The 21,429-nt window shown below is 47.8% G+C and overlaps 1 protein-coding gene and 1 long non-coding RNA gene across 9 annotated transcripts in view; one reads left to right on the top strand and one right to left on the bottom strand.

Annotated features, from left to right (window-relative positions):
• TSPAN16 (tetraspanin 16) overlaps positions 1 to 21,429 on the bottom strand; it is a 30,837-nt gene that overhangs the window by 5,426 nt on the left and 3,982 nt on the right. For 3 of the 8 annotated variants that reach the window (NM_001282509.2, NM_001282510.2, XM_011527903.4), the window contains 4 exons: positions 20,263 to 20,370; positions 14,815 to 14,967; positions 9,349 to 9,432; positions 5,604 to 5,780 (listed from right to left, as the gene is read on the bottom strand). In NM_001282509.2, coding sequence (NP_001269438.1) covers positions 5,733 to 5,780; positions 9,349 to 9,432; positions 14,815 to 14,967; positions 20,263 to 20,370 — 393 coding nt within the window. In that variant the 3' untranslated portion in view covers positions 5,604 to 5,732. Of the gene's footprint in view, positions 1 to 5,603; positions 5,781 to 9,348; positions 9,433 to 14,814; positions 15,001 to 20,262; positions 20,371 to 21,429 lie in introns of those variants that run through there. The other 5 variants (XM_011527901.2, XM_024451450.2, NR_104199.2 and 2 more) reach the window with 4 other exon arrangements.
• TSPAN16-AS1 (TSPAN16 antisense RNA 1) lies at positions 246 to 20,780 on the top strand. The gene is made up of 3 exons (NR_187778.1): positions 246 to 347; positions 19,939 to 20,076; positions 20,335 to 20,780. It is a non-coding gene; the product is annotated as a TSPAN16 antisense RNA 1 (long non-coding RNA).

The following is a 21,429-nucleotide window of genomic DNA, read 5'->3' as shown; positions in this document are numbered from 1 at the left end:
AATGTTCCCCCTGCCTCTGCCTGGATGGCCCTTACCCAAGGTAGTCACAGTTGATATGGTTTGGCTTTGTGTCCCCACCCAAATCTCATCTGGAATTGTAATCCCCATAATCCTCACGTGTCAAGGGAGAGACCAGGTGGAGGTCATTGAATCCTGGGGGCGGTTCCCCCATGCTGTTCTCCTGATAGCAAGTGAGTTCTCACGAGATCTGATGGTTTTATAAGGGATTCTTCCGCCTTCTCTCGGCTCTTCTCCTTCCTGCCACCTTGTGAAGAAGGTATCTGGCTTCCCCTTTGCCTTCTGTTATAATTGTAAATTTCCTGAGGCCTCCCCAGCCATGTTGAACTGTGAGTAAATTAAACCTCTTATGTTTTTTTGGGTATTTTTTTGTTTTTTTTTTTTTGAGACTCAGTCCTACTCTGCCACCCAGCTGGAGTGCAGTGGTGCCATCTTGGCTCACTGCAACCTCCGCCTCCCAGGTTCAAGCAATTCTCCTGCCTCAGCCTCCCGAGTAGCTGGGATTACAGGCACACTCCACTACGCCTGGCTAATTTTTGTGTTTTTAGTAGAGACGGGGTTTCACCACGTTGGCCAGGCTGGTCTCGAACGCCTGACCTCATGATCTGCCCACCTTGGCCTCCCAAAATGCTGGGATTACAGGCGTGAACCACCGTACACGGGCAAACCTCTTTCCTTTATAAATTACCCAGTCTTGGGCAGTTCTTTCCAGCAGTAGGAAAACAGACTAATACAACAAAGCTCCCCTAACTGAACTTCCTCTTTTGGGCTACTGTGCAAATCTCACTTTCTCACTGCCCCCTCCCCTGATTTAGTACTGCAATCTCCCTCCCCAGCATTTCTTTTTTCTTTTTCTTTTCTTTTCTTTTTTTTTTTTTTGGAGACAAGGTCTTGCCGTATGGCCCTGGCTGGAGTGCAGTGGCACAATCATGGCTCACTGCAGCCTCGAACTCCTGGACTCAAAGGATCCTCCCACTTCAGCCTCCTGAGTTTCTGGAACTACAAGCAAGCACCACCACATCCAGCTGATTGAGTGATTGAGAGATGGGATCTTGCTATGTTGCCCAGGCTGGTCTTGAACTCCCAGCTTCCAGCCATGCTCCCGCCTTGGCCTCCCAAAGTGCTAGGATTGGCCAGGTGTGGTGGCTCATGCCTGTCATTCCAGCACTTTGGGAGGCTGAGGCAGGAGGATCACTTGAGGTCAGGAGTTTGAGATCAGCCTGGCCAACATGACAAAACCCCATCTCTACTAAAAATATAACAAATAGCTGGGCCTGGTGGCACATGCCTGTAATCCCAGCTACTCGGGAGGCTGAGGCGGGAGAATCGCTTGAACAAGTGGGGCAGAAGTTGGGGTGTGCCGAGATCGTGCCATTGCACTCCAGCCTGGATGACAAGAGAGAAACTCCGTCTCAAAAAAAAAAAAAAAAGTCCTGGCCGGGCGTAGTGGCTCAGGCCTGTAATCCCAGCACCTTGGGAGGCGGAGGCGGGCAGGTCACGAGGTCAAGAGATCGAGATCATCCTGGCTAACACGGTAAGACCCCGTCTCCACTGAAAATACAACAAAAAAATTAGCCGGGCGTGGTGGCGGGCGCCTGTAGTCCCAGCTACGCGGGAGGCTGAGGCAGGAGAATGGCGTGAACCCGGGAGGTGGAGCTTGCAGTGAGCCAAGATCGCGTCACTGCATTCCAGCCTGGGCGACAGAGCGAGACTCCGTCTCAAAAAACAAAACAAAACAAAACAAAATACAACCTAAATGACAGGTTTGGAGAGCTTCTGAGTTGATGAACACATGGAGGTGCTGGAAGGGTGGTGCCCCCCTCCCCAAGAAAGGGTGTGGAAGTGCTGCACACCATCCCCCACACATTGCCCTCTTTATCACTTCCATTTGGCTGTTCCTGAGTTGTCTCCTTTTTTTGTTTTTTTGTTTTGTTTTGTTTTGTTTTGTTTGTTTTGAGACAGAGTCTCGCTCTGTCGCCCAGGCTGGAGTGCAGTGGCGCGATCTCGGCTCACTGCAAGCTCCGCCTCCCGGTTCAAGCGATTCTTCTGCCTCAGCCTCCGGAGTAGCTGGGATTACAGGGCGTGTGCCACCACGCCCGGCTAACTTTTGCATTTTTAGTAGAGACGGGGTTTCATCATATAGGCCAGGCTGGTCTCAGACTCCTTACCTCGTGATCCGCCCGCCTTGGCCTCCCAGAGTGCTGGGATTACAGGCATAAGCCACTGCGCCTGGCCTGAGTTGTCTCCTTTATAATAAATCAGGAGTAGTAAGTAAAACACTTGCCTGAGATCCGTGAGTCATTCTAGCAAATTATCAAACCTGAAAGGGAGGGGGCTTGTGAGAACCCCCCCTGACTTTGTAGCCACATTGGACAGAAATATGGGTAACCTGGGAACTCAATACTTGATACCTCTGAAGTGAGGGAAGCTCAGTTTTGTGGGACTCAGCCCTTAAATCTGTGGGGTCACACACCAACTCTGGGTAATTGGTGTCAGAACTGAATTGTAGAACACCCAGCGGGTGTCCACAGAGAATTGGAGAATTACTTGGTGTGGAAAACCCCACATGTTTGGTGTCAGAAGTGTGGGTAAAAAAGTTTATTTCTGGCTGGGGGCAGTGGCTTACGCCTGTAATCCCAGCACTTTGGGAGGCTGAGGTGGGAGGATCACTTGAGGTCAGGAGTTCCAGACCAGCCTGGCCAACATGGCAAAACCCCGTCTCTACTAAAAATACAAAAATTAGCCGTGTGTGGTGGCGGGCACCTGTAACTCCAACTATTCAGGAGGCTGAGGCAGAAGAATCGCTTGAAACCAGGAGGCAGAGGTTGCAGTGAGCTGAGATCGTGCCACTGCACTCCAGCTTGGGCGACAGAGCAAGACTGTCTCAAAAAAAAAAGAAAAAGAAAAGGAATTAGATAAACCACCATTTTGCAACCTCTTCTGAAAGAATTGGTTCAGGATGCTATGGTCATTGAATGAACCCCTGAGTTCATTGATGCTCAGCTGTGACCATGACTATATCTTAAAAACCACTAGGATCATCCCCAGACCCACGTCACAGCCCAGTTCAATTAAATTAGAAGATCAGGATCTGGCCGGGCGCAGTGGCTCACGCCTGTAATTGCAGCACTTTGGGAGGCTGAGGCGGGCAGATCACGAGGTCAGGAGATCCAGACCATCCTGGCTAACAAAGTGAAACCCCGTCTCTACTAAAAATACAAAAAATTAGGCTGGGTGTGGTGGCTCACACCTGTAATCCCAGCACTTTGGGAGGCCTAGGGGGGCGGATCACGAGGTCAGAAGATCGAGACCATCCTGGCTAACACGGTGAAACCCCATCTCTATAAAAATACAAAAAATTAGCCGGGCATGGTAGCGGGTGCCTGTAGTCCCAGCTACTCGGGAGGCTGAGGCAGGAGAATGGTGTGAACCCAGGAGGCGGAGCTCGCAGTGAGCCGAGATCGCGCCACTGCACTCCAGCCTGGGGGACAGAGCGAGACTCTGTCTCAAAAAAATAATAATAATAATAAAAGATCAGGATCTGTGGTTCAGGTTTAGGTAGTTTGTTAAAGCTTCCAGGTGATTCTAATCTACAGCCAGGGCTGGTAACTCATGCTTTTCAGGAAATATGTGGACAAGAGGAACAGGGTAAATAACCAAAACCACAAAGAAAGCAGTAAGCCCAGAACATCTGGCACTCCCCAAGCATTTCACACTTTTTTTTTTTTTTGAGACAGTGTATTGCTCTGTCGCCCAGGCTGGAGTGCAATGACATGATCTCAGCTCACTGCAACCTCCACCTCCTGGGTTCAAGCAATTCTCCTGAGGTCAGGAGTTCGAGACAATCCTGGCCAACATGATGAAACCCCGTCTCTACTAAAAATACAAATATTAGCCAGGCATGGTGGCACATGCCTGTAATCCCAGCTAGGCAGGAGGCTGAGGCAGGAGAGTCACTTGAACCCGGAAGGCTGAGGTTGCAGTGAGCCAAGATCGTGCCATTGCACTCCAGCCTGGACAACAAGAGCGAAACTCCGTCTCAAAAAAGAAAAAAGAAAAAAGAAAAAAAATTAGCTGGGTGTGGTGGCGCATGCCTGTAGTCCCATGTACTTAGAAAGTTGACATGGGAGACTCCCTTGAGCCCAGGAGTTAGAGGTTACCCTGAGCAACAATCACATCTCTGCACTCCAGCATGGGTGATAGAGTGAGGCCCTGTCCCTTTAAAAAAGTTTTGAGCCAATTAGGAAGACTCAACAATGGCCTAGGTATTAAGGGATGCCAAACAAGCAATGTTAATTATCCTAGATGTGATAACGGTGTTATGGTTGTGAACGCAAATGAACATATCGTTAGAGATGTGTACTGAAATATAAAGGGAAGAAATGACATTGTCTGAGGTTTGTTTTTTGGAGGGTTTTGTTGATGTTGTTGTCTTGTAGAGATGGAGTCAGGCCAGGCACAGTGGCTCACACCTGTAATCCCAGCGCTTTGGGAGGCCGAGGCAGGCGGATCACTTGAGGGCAGGAGTTTGAGACCAGCCTGGTGAAACTCCATGTCTACTAACAATACAAAAAATTAGCCAGGCGTGGTGGCAGGCGCCTGTAATCCCAGCTACATGGGAGCCTGAGCAGGAGAATTGCTTGAACCCAGAATGTGGGAAGGTTGCAATAAGCCGAGATCACACCACTGCACTCCAGCCTGGGTGACAGAACAAGACTCCATCTTAAAAAAAAAAAAAAAAGGCGGGGGGGGTCTTGCTATGTTGCCCAGGCTGGTCTCAAACTCCTGGGCTCAAGCGATCCTCCTACCTCAGTCTCCCAAAGTGCTGGGATCACAGATGTATCACCACAAAAAAATGATAAGTGAGCCTATAGATATGTTCATTAGCTTGATTTAATCATTCCACATTGTATGCATATATCAAAACATCACATTGTACCCTATAAATATATATAATTATGACTTGTCAATTTAAAAAAGAAAAAATACTTTATCAAGGGTAAAAAGGGGATTGATAAAGCAAATATGTCAATCTTTGCATTGTTGAACCTGGGTGATGTGTATGTTTCTCTGGATGGATGTTCTTGGCTTTTGTGAAAGTTCTAGATTTTTCACAGAATAATTTACAAAACTGGCTGGGTGCAGTGGCTTACACCTGTAATCCCAACACATTGGGAGGCCGAGGCAGGTGGATCACCTGAACTCAGGAGTTCAAGACCAGCCTGGCCAACATGGTGAAACCCCATCTCTACTAAACATACAAAAAATTAGCTGGGCATGGTAGCGAGTGCCTGTAATCCCAGCTACTCGGGAGACTGAGGCAGAAGACTCACTTGAACCCCGGAGGTGGAGGTTGCAGTGAGCTGAGATCGTGCCATTGCACTCCAGCCTGGCAACACAGCAAGACTCTCTCAAAAGGAAAAAAAAAAAAAAACCACACACACACACACACACACACACACACACCAAGAATAATTTACAAAACAGGAAAGTTGTATGAGAAAGGGCATAGTCTCTCATTCAGGCATTTTGAGGTAAAATCATTGCCAAAAATGAAAGTAAGGAGAAAGAAGTCAGGCTGGACAGGGGGTTCCCAAATCTTTTATTAACAGTCTCCCCTCCAGAAGCAGTGAGTGCCACAGAGAAATAAAACTGAGACTGAATCTCCAGCAGCCAGATGGGCCCAGGTGTCTCATCTTCTCCAGGCCTGGGTGTCAGCCCAGCTTGATAAACAGCAGCAAAGTGGCAAGAATTCCTGGCAACTGAAATGCGTGAAGAAAGAAACATGGATCCAATGCTAGAGACCTCCAAACCAGAATCATACTGGAGTTACGGGGACAAGGGGAGCATCCTGTTCCAGAAAGGCGAGGGGCAGGGTTTTACAGATGGCTGAAGAACCGCCTGGGCTAAGTTGGAGCCACTGTGGTTACAGTGCATTCGTCTCCACTTATTTTTTATTTATTATTATTTTATTTATTTATTTATTTATTTATTTTTGAGATGAAGTCTCCCTCTGTCGCCCAGGCTGGAGTGCAGTGGCGGATCTTGGCTCACTACAAGCTCCGCCTCCCAGGTTCACGCCATTCTCCTGCCTCAGCCTCCCGAGTAGCTGGGACTACAGGCGGCCGCCACCACGCCTGGCTAATTTTTTTGTATTTTAGTAGAGACGGGGTTTTATTGTGTTAGCCAGGATCGTCTCGATCTCCTGACCTCGTGACCTGCCCACCTCGGCCTCCCACAGTGCTGGGATTACAGGCGTGAGCCACCGCGCCTGGCCTATTATTATTATTATTATTATTATTATTATTATTATTATTGAGAAGGAGTCTCACTCTGTTGCCCAGGTTGGAGTGCTGTGGCACTATCTTGGCTCATTGCAACCTTCATCTCCCGGGTTCAAGCAATTCTCCTGCCTCAGCCTCCCGAGGAGCTGGAATTACAGGCGCCCAGCACCACGCCCGGCTAATTTTTGTATTTTTAGTAGAGATGGGGTTTCACCATGTTGGTCAGGCTGGTCTCGAGCTCCTGACCTCAGGTGATCCATTCGCCTCGGCCTCCCAAAGTGCTGGGATTACAGGCGTGAACTACCGCGCCTGGCCCATCCTCTCCACTTCGGCCCTCCCCGGAGCCCTACGGACCATATTCCCCAGACTCCACTGCCACATAACTTCCGGTTAGGCTTGGCCAATAGGAAGCACCGGGAGAAGACGGGTGAGCGGGAGGAGAGAATGGTAGGGTATTCCTTCCCCACTTCCTCCCTCTTTTCTTCCCCTCCTTCTGGGCTCCTACCCTCTTCATGCCCTTTCTAGAGCCTTCAGGCCTAGGAGAAATAAAAGTTCCCCATGTCTTTAGCTCCTGGGCGCCTCATTTCACTGAACCCTGTCACCCCTCTGCAAGGAGGCCCCTGAAAACATCTTAAATGGACCATCTGGGGGCTGAATGCTGTTTCCTGCTGGGATCCTTGGGGAGGAAGGTGTTGTATAGTTTACAAGTACATATTCAATATTATAAATTTGTACAATGAAAAAAATTACCCCAAAGAAATAAATATCCCAGACTGGTAAGATAGAGCCTTGTCTCAGTTAGTGGCGATTTGCAGAAAAGACACTACTATGTTGGTAGTCAATGTGCAGAAAGCATGTAGGAAAAATTTCTTGGGCAACCAGGGGCATGGAGCACTTTTTATTAAATAACATTGAGATATAATTGATAGACTATACAGGTTACCTTTCTAAAGTATACAGTTCAATGGTTTTTAGTATATTCAGAGTTGGGCTACCATCACTACTATATAACTTAAGAACATTTTCATCATGAACCACAGAAACGCCATACCTATTATCAGTCACTCCCCATTCTTCCCGTACCCTCTGGTCCCTGGCAATCACTAACTACCTTTTATTTCTATGGACTTGCCTATTCTGAACATTTTATATAATGGAATCATATAATATCATGACTGGCTTCTTACACTTAGCATGATGTTGATATGGGTCATCCACGTTGTAGCATATATCAATAAGTTTTTGTTGTTGAATAATATTTTATTGAATGGATATGCATTTTCTTTATCCATTCATCACTTGATGTACATTTGGGTTTTATCTACTTTTTGATTATTATGAATAATCCTGCTATGAGCATTTACGTAAAGGTTTTTGTATGGATACATGTCTTCAATTATCTTGGATTATAAACATAGGAGAGAAGTTGCTGGGACAAATAATAATTCTGTGTTTAACATTTTAGGAAATGGCTTCACCATTTTACAATCTCATCAACAATGTGTAAGGATTCAAATATCTCCACATCCTTGGCAACACTTGTTATTATCTTTAGCCATCCTAGTGAGAATAAAGTGTTTTTATTGGCATTTCCCTAATTAATGATGGGTGGTAGAGCATTTTTTATGTGATTACTGGCCATCTGTATGCCTTCTTTGGATAAAAATCTCTATTTGAATCCTTTGTCCATTTTAGTTGGGTTACTTGTCTTTTTATTAAGATATAATTTTTTTTTTTTTTTTGAGACAGAGTCTTGCTCTGTTGCCAAGGCTGGAGTGCAGTGGTGCAATCTCGGCTCACTGTAAATTCCACCTCCCAGATTCAAGCGATTCTCCTGCCTCAGCAACCCAAATCCCAGCTGTAATCTCAGCTGAGATTACAGGCGTGCATCACTACGCCCAGCTAATTTTTTTATTTTTAGTAGAGACAGGGTTTCACCATGTTCGTCAGGCTGGTCTCGATCTCTTCACCTCGTGAGCCGCCTGCCTCAGCCTCCCAAAATTCTGGGATTACAGGCATGAGCTACCACACCCAGCCTTGTAGTTTTACTTTCTTATGTCATTGCAATATCTTGTATTGGTGTCATAGAATAAACTGGGAAATATGTCTTCCTCTTTTTTATTGGCAGAGTTTGCAGGTGAAACAATGGTGTTAATTCTTTAAAAGTTTGGTAATATTTCCAGTGAGGATATCTGGGCCTGATATTTTCTTTGTGGGAAGTTTTTTGGTTACTAATTTAATGTCATTACTTGCTGTAGATCTATTTACATATTCTATTTCTTCTTGAGTCAGTTTTGGTAGTTTATGTTTATCTAGGAATTTGTCTATTTCATCTAGGTTAGCTAATTTATTGGCATACAGGTTCACACTTTTCCCTTATAGTTGCTTTATTTCTGTAAGGTCAGTAGTGATGTCTCTCTTTCATTCCTAATGTTACTAATTTGAGTAATCTTTCCCTTTTTTTGCCCTTCAGTCTACTAAAGTTCTGTCAATTTTATCTTTTTTTGTGACATGATCTCACTCTGTCACTCAGGATGGAGTGCAGTGACACAATCATGCCTCACTAGCCTTGATATCCCAGGCTCAAGTGATCCCCCTGCCTCAGCCCCCCAAGTAGCTGGGACTACAAGCATCTGCCACCACACCTGGATAATTTTCTTATTTTTGTTTTTGTAGAGATGGGGAGTCTCACTATGTTGCCCAGGCTGATTTTGAACTCCTGGGCTCAAGCAGTCCTCCTGCCTCAGCCTCCCAAAGTGCTAGAATTACAGGCTGAGCCATTATACCCGACCTGTTTTATCTTTTCAAAGAATCAAATTTTGGTTTTATTGATGTTCTCCATTTCATTTATTTTCATATTTTCACTCTAATCTTTAGCATCTTCCTTCTGCTTGATTTGGGTTTAGTTTGTTCTTCTTTGTTGAGTTTCTTTTTTTTTTTTTTTTTAGTTTTGTTCACTCCTGTGTCCCAGTGACCAGAACAGTGTTTGGCATACAGTAGGTGCTTAATAAAACAGCTCAAAGACCCTAGAGAGGCTGGGTCTTACCTGTATCACTGCAGCTCCCAGAGAGCTCCCACTCAGGGTGAAGCTCTGAGTCTTGGTGATTTTTAGGAGTTTATGGAAACAGCCCTGAGGAAACAAACACCAAAACAAGCAGGAGGTGGTTAGGGGCTTATGGATTGCAAGTCCCCATCAACCCCAACTCATTAGGCCACTCAGACGACTCTCAGATTCTTTGAGGAGAAGCGGGGAGAGAGCCGTGAGGGCCTTCCCTCCATCTCATTTGACTGCCACCCGCTCCCCGCCACCCTAGCATCTTCCCTGTCCTCCTCATTCCCCCAAAAGAATATACCGATGATTCCCTTCTACTTGTCTGTGCTAATGTTCCAGTGTGGCAATTAAGTGTGGTTGGACATCCTCGATTATTACTAGCTGTGTGACCTTGGAGAAGTCGCTATACCTCTCTGTACCTCCATTTTCCCATCTATAAATGGCACCCACTGGATCTGCCTTACAAGAATTTCATGAGGAGTAAAAGAATCAAAGGCCAGGCATGGTAGCTCATGTCTATAATCCCAGCACTTTGGGAAGCCAAGATGGGAGGATCACTTGAGCCCGGGAGTTCAAGACCAGTCTGGGTAACATAGTGAGACTCCCTCTCTATAAAAAATGTAAATATTAGCCTGGTGTGTGGCTGTAGTCCCAGCTACTTGGGAGATTGGGGCAGGAGGATTGCTTGAGCTCAGCCAGTCGAGGCTTCAGTGAGCCATGATCATGCCACTGCACTCCAGCCCAGGGGACACAGCAATACCCTGTCTCAAAAATAAATAAATAGGCTGGGCGTGGTGGTTCATGCCTATAATCTCAGCACTTTGGGAGGCGGAGGCAGGTGGATAACGAGGTCAGGAGATCAAGACCATACTGGTTAACATGGTGAAACCCCATCTCTACTAAAAATACAAAAATATAGCCAGGCATGGTGGCGGTGCCTGTAATTCCAGCTACTCGGGAGGCTGAGGCAGGAGAATCACTTGAACCAGGGAATCGGAGGTTGTAGTGAGCCGAGATTGTACCACTGCATTCCAGCTTGTCGACAGAGTGAGACTCCATCTCTAAATAAAGAATTAATAAGGCTGGGCACGATGGCTCATGCCCGTAATCCCAGAACTCTGAGAGGCCGAGGCTGGCAGATTCCCTGAGCCCAGGAGTTCGAGATTGACCTGGACAACGTAGCGAAACCCCGTCTCTACAAAAAATAAAAAAATTAGCCAGTGTGGTGGTATGTGCCTGTAGTCCCAGATACTTGGGGGGCTGAGACGGGAGGATCATTTGAGCCTAGGAGGTCAAGGCTGCAGTGAGCCATGTTTGCACCACTGTACTCCATCCAGCCTGAGTGACAGAGCAAGAACCCGTCTCTAAATAAATACATAAATATAAAAGAATGAATCTACATGAAATACATTGCAGTGGTCTGACATGTAGCCAGCATTCAATAACTGTTAGTTATTTTTAAGTGCTCTTTACATATGAACAGAAGAGCTGACGTATTCAGTGGCTTCTCCGTCCACATATTTTCTTACTCATTTCTCACTATAACCCCATAATTTGGGTACTCTTCTTTCCTCCATTTTACAGATGAGGAAACTGAGGCTCAGAGATATTAGGATACCAGGCAAAGTGCGTTGGCAGGGCATCCTCCTGAAGATGGTAGGGCCTCCTCTCTCCTTCCTGCACTTTTTTTTTTTTTTTTTTGAGACGGAATTTGGCTCTTATTGCCCAGGCTGGAGTGTAGTGGCGCTAACTTGGCTCACCGCAACCTCCGCCTCCCGGGTTCAAGCAATTCTCCTGCCTCAGCCTCCCAAGTAGCTGGAGTTACAGGCTCCCACCACCACGCCCGGCTAATTTTTGTATTTTTAGTAGAGATGGGGGTTTCACCATGTTGGTGAACTCCTGACCTCAGGTGATCCACACACCTCAGCCTCCCAAAGTGCTGGGACTACAGGCGTGAGCCACCACACCCGGCCTTCTTCCTTCTTCCTGCACTTCCAGAGTAGCTCCCTCTTCTAGGCCCCTGGCACATCTCACCTCTGGAGGCTTGGGCCACATTGAACTTGCTGTTGTCACTGTTCCGTGCCCCCTTTCACATAATAGTTTTTTTTTTTCTTAGATTGGGTCTCGTCCTGTCACTCAGACTGGATGCAGTGGCATGACCATAGCTCACTGCAGCCTTGAACTCCTGGGTTCAAGCAATCCTCCTGCGTCAGCCTCCCAAGCAGCTGAAATTACAGGTGTGCAACAACACCACACCCAGTTAATCTGTAAATTTTTCCTGAAGATGAGGGTCTTGCTATGTTGTTCAGGCTGGTCTTGAACTCCTGTCCTCAAGTGATCCTCCTGCCTTGGCCTCCTAAAGTACTGGGATTACAGGCATGAGCCATCACACTTGGCCACATAATAGGTATTTAAGTGCCTGGCACTGAATTGGACAGTGGCAACCCAGCAATGTATAAAACAGACAAAATTCCTGCCCTCATGGGGCTGACATTTGAGTGGGGAGAACAGCTAACGGCAAGCATAGTGATAATACTGTAAAGTGGTGATAAATGCTGGAAAGACACAGAAACAGGGTATGAAGACAGAGCATGATCACTGGGATGAGGGATACTTTTATAGATGGGAAGTCAGAACAGCCTCACGGAGAAAGTGCCAGTTGAGTAAAGACTTGAGAGGTAGGAAGACGTGAAGGAAGAGCACTCCAGGCAGAGGGAAAGCCTGTGCAAAGGCGGTGAGGCAGGCATGTGCCTGGTGTTTCTGAGCAGTAGCGAGGAGGCCAGTGTGCTGGAACAGAGTGAGCAAGGGGGAAAGGTTAGGAGGTGACAGGTAGGTTGTGTAGGGCCCAGTGGGCCAGTGTCTGGCCCGTGTCTGTCTCTGAGGCCCCTGCCTGGGACTCAACCTGGCTGATTTTCCACAGGGCCTATTTCCCTGCATGAGCCATTCAGTGCAAATGAAGGAATGAACGATTCATATTTCTTCTTCTTTTTTTTTTTTTTGTCTATTTTAGAGAGGGGTCTTGCTCTGTGGCCCAGGCCGGAGTGCAGCGGCACAATCACGGCTCACTGCAGCCTTGACCTCCTGGGCTCAATCGATCCTCCTGCCTCAGCCTCCCAGTTAGCTGGGACTACAGGTTCATGCCACCATGCCCAGCTGATTTTTAATTTTTTTGTAAAAACGGCATCTTGCTATGTTGCCAAGGCTGGTCTTGAACTACTGGACTTAAGTGATCCTCCCACCTCAACCACCAGAATAGCTGGGACTTAGGCATGTGTCACCACACTCAGCTAATATAAAAAATGTTTTTTAGCCAGGCAGGGTGGCTCATGCCTGTAATCCTAGCACTTTGGGAGGCTGAGGTGGGAGGATCACCTGAGGTCAGGAGTTCAAGACCAGCCTGACCAACATGGTAAAACCCCGTTTCTACTAAAAATGCAAAAATTAGGCCAGGCGCGGTGGCTCACGCCTGTAATCCCAGCACTTTGGGAGGCCGAGGCGGGCGGATCATGAGGTCAGGAGATGGAGACCATCCTGGCTAACACGGTGAAACCCCGTCTCTACTAAAAATGTACAAAAAAATTAGCTGGGCATGCTGGCAGGAGCCTGTAGTCCCAGCTACTCAGGAGGCTGAGGCAGGAGAATGGCATGAACCTGGGAGGCAGAGCTTGCAGTAAGCCAAGATTGCGCTACTGCACTCCAGCCTGGGCGACAGAGCAAGACTCCGTCTCAAAAAAAAAAAAAAATGCAAAAATTAGCTGGGCGTGGTAGCACACGCCTGTAATCCCAGCTACTCGGGAGGCTGAGGCAGGAGAATCACCTGAACCTGGGAGGCGGAGGCTGCGGTGAGTCGAGATTGCGCCACTGCACTCCAGTCTGGGTGATAGAGCAAGACTCCGTCTCAAAAAAACAAAATTTGTTGTTGTTGTGATGGGGACTTTGCTATGTTGCCCTGGCTCTGATTTCTATTTCTTCCCTCAGAGAAGATCTCTGTGCTCATTCACTCGTGGAAGAAGTTAAGGGGGAACTGGGGTGTGGCTTGAAACCCAGCTCATTACTCCCTGGACACAGGAAATGCTCTGTACCTCAGTTTCCTTATCTGCAAAATGAGAGAAGAGTAGTTCCCCACCTCAAGGGATAGGATGGGACAAAACTCACAAAGTGAGTGCTCCATCACGTGGCTGGCCCTCACTCCCGCTAGGATGATCACTTTTCATGGTTATTGCTCCATTTAGGGTCTCTAGAAGGCAGGTAGTGTGGTGCCGGCAATGGACTCAGGCCAATGGGGCTTCAAATTCCAACTCTGCCAAAGCTCTGTGATCTTGAACTAGTGATGTCCCCTCCCCGAGCCTCAGTTTCTGAGAGAAGGTAACCGTAAGTCCCTGCTCTGTGTTGTCAAAATAAGCTGAACACTCAATAAGAGTTGATTTCTTTCTCCCTGACCCCCTTTGCAGGGGTCCCCCAAAAGAAGCAATTTTTATTAAAGTTACCAGGCTGGGTGTGGTGGTTCATGCCTGTAATCCCAGCATTTTGAGAGGCTGAGGCAGGAGGATTGCTTGAGGCCAGGAGTTCGAGACCAGCCTGGGCAACATACTAAGGCCTCATCTCTATTAAAAATAAAAATTAAAAAAAAATTAGCCAGGCATGGTGGCACGTGCCTGTGGTCCCAGCTACTCGGGAGGCTGAGGCAGGAGGATCACTTGAGCCCAGGAGTTTGAGGCTGCAGTGAGCCGTGATTGCACCATTGCACTCCTGCCTGGGCAACAGAGTGAGACCCTATCTCTAAAAAAATAAAAATAAGGCCGGGTGTGGTGGCTCATGCCTGTAATCCCAGCACTTTGGGAGGCCGAGGTGGGAGGATCACTTGAGCTCAGGAGTTTGAGACCAGCCTGGCCAACATGAGGAAACCCCATCTCTAGTAAAAATACAAAAATCAGCCGGGCGTGGTGGCACACACCTGTAATCCCAGCTACTCGGGAGGCTGAGGCAGGAGAATCACTTGAACCCAGGAGGCGGAGGTTGCAGTGAGCCAAGATGGCACCATTGCACTCCAGCCTGGGAGACACAGTGAAACTCCATCTCAAAATAACTAACTAAATAAATAAATAAAAAGGCTGGGTACAGTAGCTCATGCCTGTAATCCCAGCACTTTGGGAGGCCAAGGTGGGTGGATCACCTGAGGTTCGAGACCAGCCTGGCCAACATGGTGAAACCCCATCTCTACTAAAAATACAAAATTAGCCGGGTGTGGCGGTGCATGCCTGTGATCCCAGCTACTTGGGAGGCTGGGGCGGGAGAATCACTTGAACCTGGGAGGCGGAGGTTGCAGTGAGCCGAGATCGCACCACTGCACTCCAGCCTGGGTGACAAGGGTGAAACTCTTTCTCAAAATAAGATAAAAATAAAAATGAAGTCACCAGCCCTCAGGGGTCTGTCAAGGCAACACACAAAATCTCCAGTTACCTTCTGGTGGATGACGTTTGGAGACACATCGCGTCCGTCACAGGACACACTTCCGATGGATTTACAGCAACTCCTGGGGTAGGTGTGGCCCGTTGTCATTTCGAAGGAAGAGCCAGAAAAATCTGTGTAGTTATTCACCCCACAGCACTTTAGCTATAGAGAGGAGAAGAAATACTTGGAGAGTCCCTTTCAAATAATAAAAACATCAGAAATCACGGTTACCATGGCTACCGTCTAGTATGGTCACAATATCCCAGAGACTGTGCTAAACATCCTCTTACAAACATCCCATCACAGCCCAGAACCCTCCCTGGCTCCCATCTCACTCAGGGTAAAAGCTGAACTCCTAGCCTGGGCAACAGGGTGAGACCCCATCTCGGCAAAAAAATTTAAAAATTAGCCAGGCATGGTGGCAGATGCCGGTATTCCCAGCTACTCAGGAGGCTCAGGCTAGAGGATCTCTTGAGCCCGGGAGATCAAGGCTGCAGTGAGCTATGACCTCACCACTACATTCCACCCTGGGCAACAGAGCAAGACCTGTCTCTAAAAAGAAAAAAAAGCTGAACTCCTCAGTGATTCTCCTGCCTCAGTCTCCCGAGTAGCTGGGATTTCAGGCACACGCCCCCACGCCTGGCTAATTTTTGTATTTTTAGTAGAGACAGGTTTATGCCACGTTGGCCAGGCTGGTCTCGAATTCCTGACCTCAAGTGATCCACCCTCCTTGTCCTCCCAAAGTGCTGGGATTAGCGGCGTGAGCCACCGTGCCCGGCCCTGCCTTGTTTTTATTCACAGCAGTTATGAACCTGATACCAATGTTTAGTTATTGGTTTCTTGCCCATCTCTCCACTCACATGTCAGTAACGGAAGAACCAGAGATTGCCCATCTCTTCATTCACATGTCAGTAATGGAAGAATGAATTTGAAGTGCAGTGCTGAGATCGTAGCTTACTGCAACCTCAATCTTCTGGGCTCAAGCGATTCTCCCTCCTCTGCCTCCTGAGTAGCTGGGACTACAGGTGCAGGCCATCACGCCTGGCTACATTTTTTATCTATTGTAGAGATGGGTCTTGCTATGTTGCCTGGGCTGGTCTCAAACTCTTAGCCTCAAGCGATCCACCCATCTCAGCCTCCCAAAGTGCTAGGATTACAGATGTGAGCCACTGCACCTGGCCCAACAAGGATTTTATTTTTATTTTTATTTTTATTTTTATTTTTATTATTTTTTTTGAGACACAGTCTCTGTCTGTTGCCCAGGTTGGAGTGCAATGGCGCGATCTTGGCTCTCTGCAACTTCCACCTCCTGGGTTCAAGCAATTCTCCTACCTCGGCCTCCCGAGTAGCTGGGATTACAGGCATGCACCACCATGCCCGGCTAATTTTTGTATTTTTAGTAGAGACGGGGTTTCGCTATGTTGGCCAGGCTGGTCTCGAACTGCTGACCTCAGGTGATCCACCTGCCTCAGCCTCCCAAAGTGCTGGAATTGCAGGCATGAGCCACTGCGCCCAGCACCAACAAGGATTTTTTTTGTACCCTAACAAAAACCCTATAGAGTGCCTGACTCATAGCAGGTGCTCAATAAATATTAGTGGGAGGACTGTATGAATGAATGAAAGAGAGACATTCTGTACCATCACAAGCTTGAGAAGCCAAAAGCAGCATGCAGAAAGGCATCAGCCAGTTGCAGTGACTCATGCCTATAATCCCAACACTTTGAGAAGCCAATTCAGGAAGATCACTTCAGGCGACGAGTTCAAGACCAGTCTGGGCAACACAGGGAGCAAAACTTTTTTTTTTTTAATAAATGAAGCTGGGCGCAGTGGCTCACAGCTATAATCCTAGCACTTTAGGAAGACTAAGCAGGCAGATCACTTGAGCCCAGGAGTTCGAGACCAGCCTGGGCAACATGCTGAAAGGTCTCTACTAAAAATTTTAGGCTGGGCACAGTGGCTCACGCCTGTAATCCCAGCACTTTGGGAGGCCGAGGCGGACAGATCACGAGGTCAGGAGATCAAGATCATCCTGGCTAACATGGTGAAACCCCGTTTCTACTAAAAATACAAAAAATTAGCCGGGCGTGATGGCAGGCACCTGTGGTCCCAGCTACTCAGGAGGCTGAGGCAGGAGAATGGCATGAACCTGGGAGGCGGAACTTGCAGTGAGCCGAGGTCATGCCACTGCACTCCAGCCTGGGCAACAGAGCGAGACTCCATCTCAAAATAAATAAATAAAAATAAAAATTTTAAAAATTAGCTGGGTGTGGTGGTGTGCACCTGTAGTCCCAGCTACTCGGGAGGCTGAGGTACAAGAATCACCTGAGCTTGGGAAGTTGTGCCTGCAGTGAGCCGAGATTGCGCCACTGAACTCCAGCCTGAGTTTTGGGAGTACGACTCTGTCTTAAGTACATAAATAAATTGTTCCCTATCACATGTTCCTTTCAAAGCCTGGCCATCAACCCACAGCAGCTCCTGGACCTACAACTCAGGTGTGAAATGCTCCTGGAGACAGGCAATGGCTTTCCCCACTTTGAACCCTCCCTGCCTGGCCTCAACCACCTGTCTCAAAAGCTTAAATAACACTTAAAGGCCAGTCTTGCTCCTTAAATGCCAAGAATCAAGATGGGAGTCTCACCACCTCACACTCATTAGGATGGCAATGATCAAAATAACAGAAAATTGGCCGTGCACGGTGGCTCACACCTGTAATCCCAGCACTTTGGGAAGTCAAGGTGGGTGGATCACTTCAGGTCAAAAATTTGAGACCAGCCTGGCCAACATGGTGAAGTCCTGTCTCTACTAGAGACAAAAATTAGCCAGGTACGGTAGTGCACGCCTGTAATCCCAGCTACCTGGGAGGCTAAGGCAGGACAATCACTTGAACCCAGGAGGCGGAGGTTGCAGTGGGCCAAGATTGCGCCACTGCACTCCAACTTGGGTGACAGAGTGAGACTCCATCTCAAAAAAAAACAAACCCAGAAAATGACAGGTGTCAAGGACGTGGAGAAATTAGACTCCTGCATTGCTGATGGGAATGGAAAATGGTGCAGCCACTGTGGAAAGGAGTCTGGCAGTTCCTCAAAAAACGTAGGCCAGTGTGGTGGCTACCCCTGTAATCCCAGCACTTTGGGAGGCTGAGTTAGGAGGATCGCTTGAGGCCAGGAGTTTTTTTTTTTTTTTTTTTTAATTTATTTATTTATTTATTTTTTATTGATCATTCTTGGGTGTTTCTCACAGAGGGGGATTTGGCAGGGTCATAGGACAATAGTGGAGGGAAGGTCAGCAGATAAACAAGTGAACAAAGGTCTCTGGTTTTCCTAGGCAGAGGACCCTGCGGCCTTCCGCAGTGTTTGTGTCCCTGGGAACTTGAGATTAGGGAGTGGTGACGACTCTTAACGAGCATGCTGCCTTCAAGCATCTGTTTAACAAAGCACATCTTGCACCGCCCTTAATCCATTTAACCCTGAGTGGACACAGCACATGTTTCAGAGAGCACAGGGTTGGGGGTAAGGTCACAGATCAACAGGATCCCAAGGCAGAAGAATTTTTCTTAGTACAGAACAAAATGAAAAGTCTCCCATGTCTACTTCTTTCTACACAGACACGACAACCATCCGATTTCTCAATCTTTTCCCCACCTTTCCCCCCTTTCTATTCCACAAAGCCGCGATTGTCATCCTGGCCCGTTCTCAATGAGCTGTTGGGCACACCTCCCAGACGGGGTGGTGGCGGGGCAGAGGGGCTCCTCACTTCCCAGTAGGGGCGGCCGGGCAGAGGCGCCCCTCACCTCCCGGACGGGGCGGCTGAGGCCAGGAGTTTTTAAGATCAGCCTGAGCAACATGGTGAAACCCCATATCTACAAAAAAAAAAAAAAAAATTAGCCAGGCATGGTGGCACGAACCTGCAGTCCCAGCTACTCAAGAGGCTGAGGTGGGAAGGTTGCTTCAGCCTGGGAGGCAGAGGTTGCAGTGAGCCATGATCCCCTTACCGCACTCCAGCCTGGGCAACAGAGTGAGATCCTGTCTCAAAAATATATATGTGAATATATATATGTATGTGTGTGTGTGTGTGTGTGTGTGTGTGTATATATATATATATATATGTATGTGTATATATATATGTATGTGTGTATATATATATTTATATACATATGTATATAAATATATATGTATATATACAAAGCAGAATTGCCATAGAATCTAGCAAATCCCTTTTTTTTTTTTTTTTTTTTTTTGAGATGGAGCCTCACTCTGTTGCCCAGGCTGCAATGCAGTGGCATGATCCTGGCTCACCGCAGCCTCTGCCTCCCGGATTCAAGCGATTCTCCTGCCTCAGCCTCCCGAGTAGCTGGGATTACAGGCACACGCCACCATGCCTGGCTAATGTTTGTATTTTTAGTAAAGACACACACTGCCTGATTTCACTCCTAGGAGGTCCCTAGAGTCGTCAGATTCATATAGACAGACAGGAGCATGGTGGGTGCCAGGGGCTTGGGGAGGGAGAATGTGGAGTGAGCGTTTCATGGGACAGAGTTTTAGTTTGGGAAGATAAGGAAGTTCTAGAGATGGTGGTGATGGTCGCACAACAATGCGAATGTGCTTAATGCCGCTGAACTGCACACTTCAAAATTGTTAAATGGGGCCGGGCACGGTGGCTCACGCCTATAATCCCAGAACTTTGGGATGCCAAGGCGGGTGGATCACCTGAGGTCAGGAGTTTGAGACCAGCCTGACCCATATGGTGAAACCCCGTCTCTACTAAAAATACAAAAATTAGCCAGGTGTGGTGGTGGGCGCCTCTAATCCCAGCTACTTGGGAGGCTAAGACAGGAGAATTGCTTGAACCTGGGAGGTGGAGGTTGCAGTGAGCTGAGATTGCGCCACTGCACTCCAGCCTAGGCAACAGAATGAGACTCCAACTCAAAAAAAAAAAAATGTTAAACGATACATTTCATGTTTACAAGATACAGGGTCTTGCTCTGTCACCCAGGCTAGAGTGCAGTGGCACCATCATAGTTCACTGAAGCCTTGACTTCCTGGACTCAAGTGATCCTCCCACCTCAGCCTCCTTAGTAGCTGGGACCACAAGCATGTGCCACTGTGACTGGCTTTTTTTTTTTTTTTTAAACAGAGCCTCCCTCTGTCGCCCAGGCTGGGATGCAGTGGTGCCATCTCAACTCACTGCAACCTCTACCTCCTGGGTTCGAGCTATTCTCCTGCCTCAGCCTCCTGAGTAGCTGAGACTACAGATGCCTGCCACCACACGGAGGTAATTTTTGTATTTTTAGTAGAGACGGGGTTTCACCATGTTGGCTCAGCTGGTCTCAAACTCCTGACCTCAAGTGATCCTCCCACCTCGGCCTCCCAAAGTGCTGGGATTACAGGTGTGAGCCACTTCGCCCGCCCATGTTGTGTACCTTTACACCACAATTTTTTTTTTTTAAGTAAGCCTCACCTTCTCCATGACCAAGTTCCACTGTGTAGAATAGTCGTCTGGCTCGTTGTAACCTCTGTAATTCTTCCTCAGGGTCACGAAGGTGTGTTCCAAGGCCACATCTCCAACCTCACAGAGAGGACAGGAAGTGATCAGTACCCCAACTAGCAAGAGTGGCCCGTTCATTGGCCGAGGTTCTTGAGGATAGAGTGGGAGGTGGGAGCGTCCCTCGTGCTGCCTTCATTTTTCCTACCCTCAGCTCAGGGGTCTGTGCTAGAGGAAGACACACGAAGGCTACTGTGCCCCCACCACAAGAGAGGGAAACAGGGAGACGCGTGGGTCTGGAGCCAAGCGTATCTCTCTGTACCCATCGCACACGAATTTGAATCATCTGCTCTTTGGAATCGCCTACACCCTGCTGCACCCACGATGTGGCTGTAACTCCATTAAAGAATTGAATATCATCTTCCACGGAATCTCTGTCTGCACAAAAGGGGCACATTTAATTTTCTGTTTTTTAAATAAAGGTTTAAAAAATCCTTTTGCAAAGCGATGATAGAGGCACGTGGTTCGAAATTGACATGCACAGGAGAACAGACCATGAAAAGTCTCTCTCCCACCCCTTCCTCCCAGCCAAAAGTTTCCTCCCACTCCATGCCAATGACTGTTAACTGTTTCCTGTGTCCCCAAAGAGATGTTCTTCTATGTGTGTCAAAGCAAAGTATATTTTCACTATTCTTCCTCTTTGGTTTATGCTGCACTCATTTTTCTGCGTCTGGCTGTTCTCGACAGGAGTAGCAGGGGCTCTTGGTGGCCTGCCCATAACTCTGTGGCCCTTGTCAGTTCTGTGCCTACTGGCCTGACTCCCTAGTGCCAGCAAGTGAGGATTCTCTGGCCTCTGAGCCCACATGCCCCCTGGGAGCAGCCCTCCATCAATGGCTGGTTGGAGTTGGTGGATCAATATCCCAGCTCCCTCTCCACTTGAGTGGAATAACCTAGGTGCATGTTCTATGCTGTGCCCAGCATCCCCTTTTGTGGGCTGTCTTCCCTTACCTGCCTCATTTGCCATGTCCCCTGCAGGTGTTTTCTGGGATCACCTCTCAAATAAACCACATGCCTTTGAATTATTGTTTCAGGGTCAGCCTCTGGGGAGGATGCCAATGAGGACGGCACTCTATCCTGGAGAGC

This window comes from Homo sapiens, chromosome 19, assembly GCF_000001405.40.
Source record: "Homo sapiens chromosome 19, GRCh38.p14 Primary Assembly".
Lineage (NCBI taxonomy): Eukaryota > Metazoa > Chordata > Mammalia > Primates > Hominidae > Homo > Homo sapiens.
Note: the sequence above shows the minus strand (reverse complement) of the source record. Positions and strands in the feature narration are given on the sequence as shown.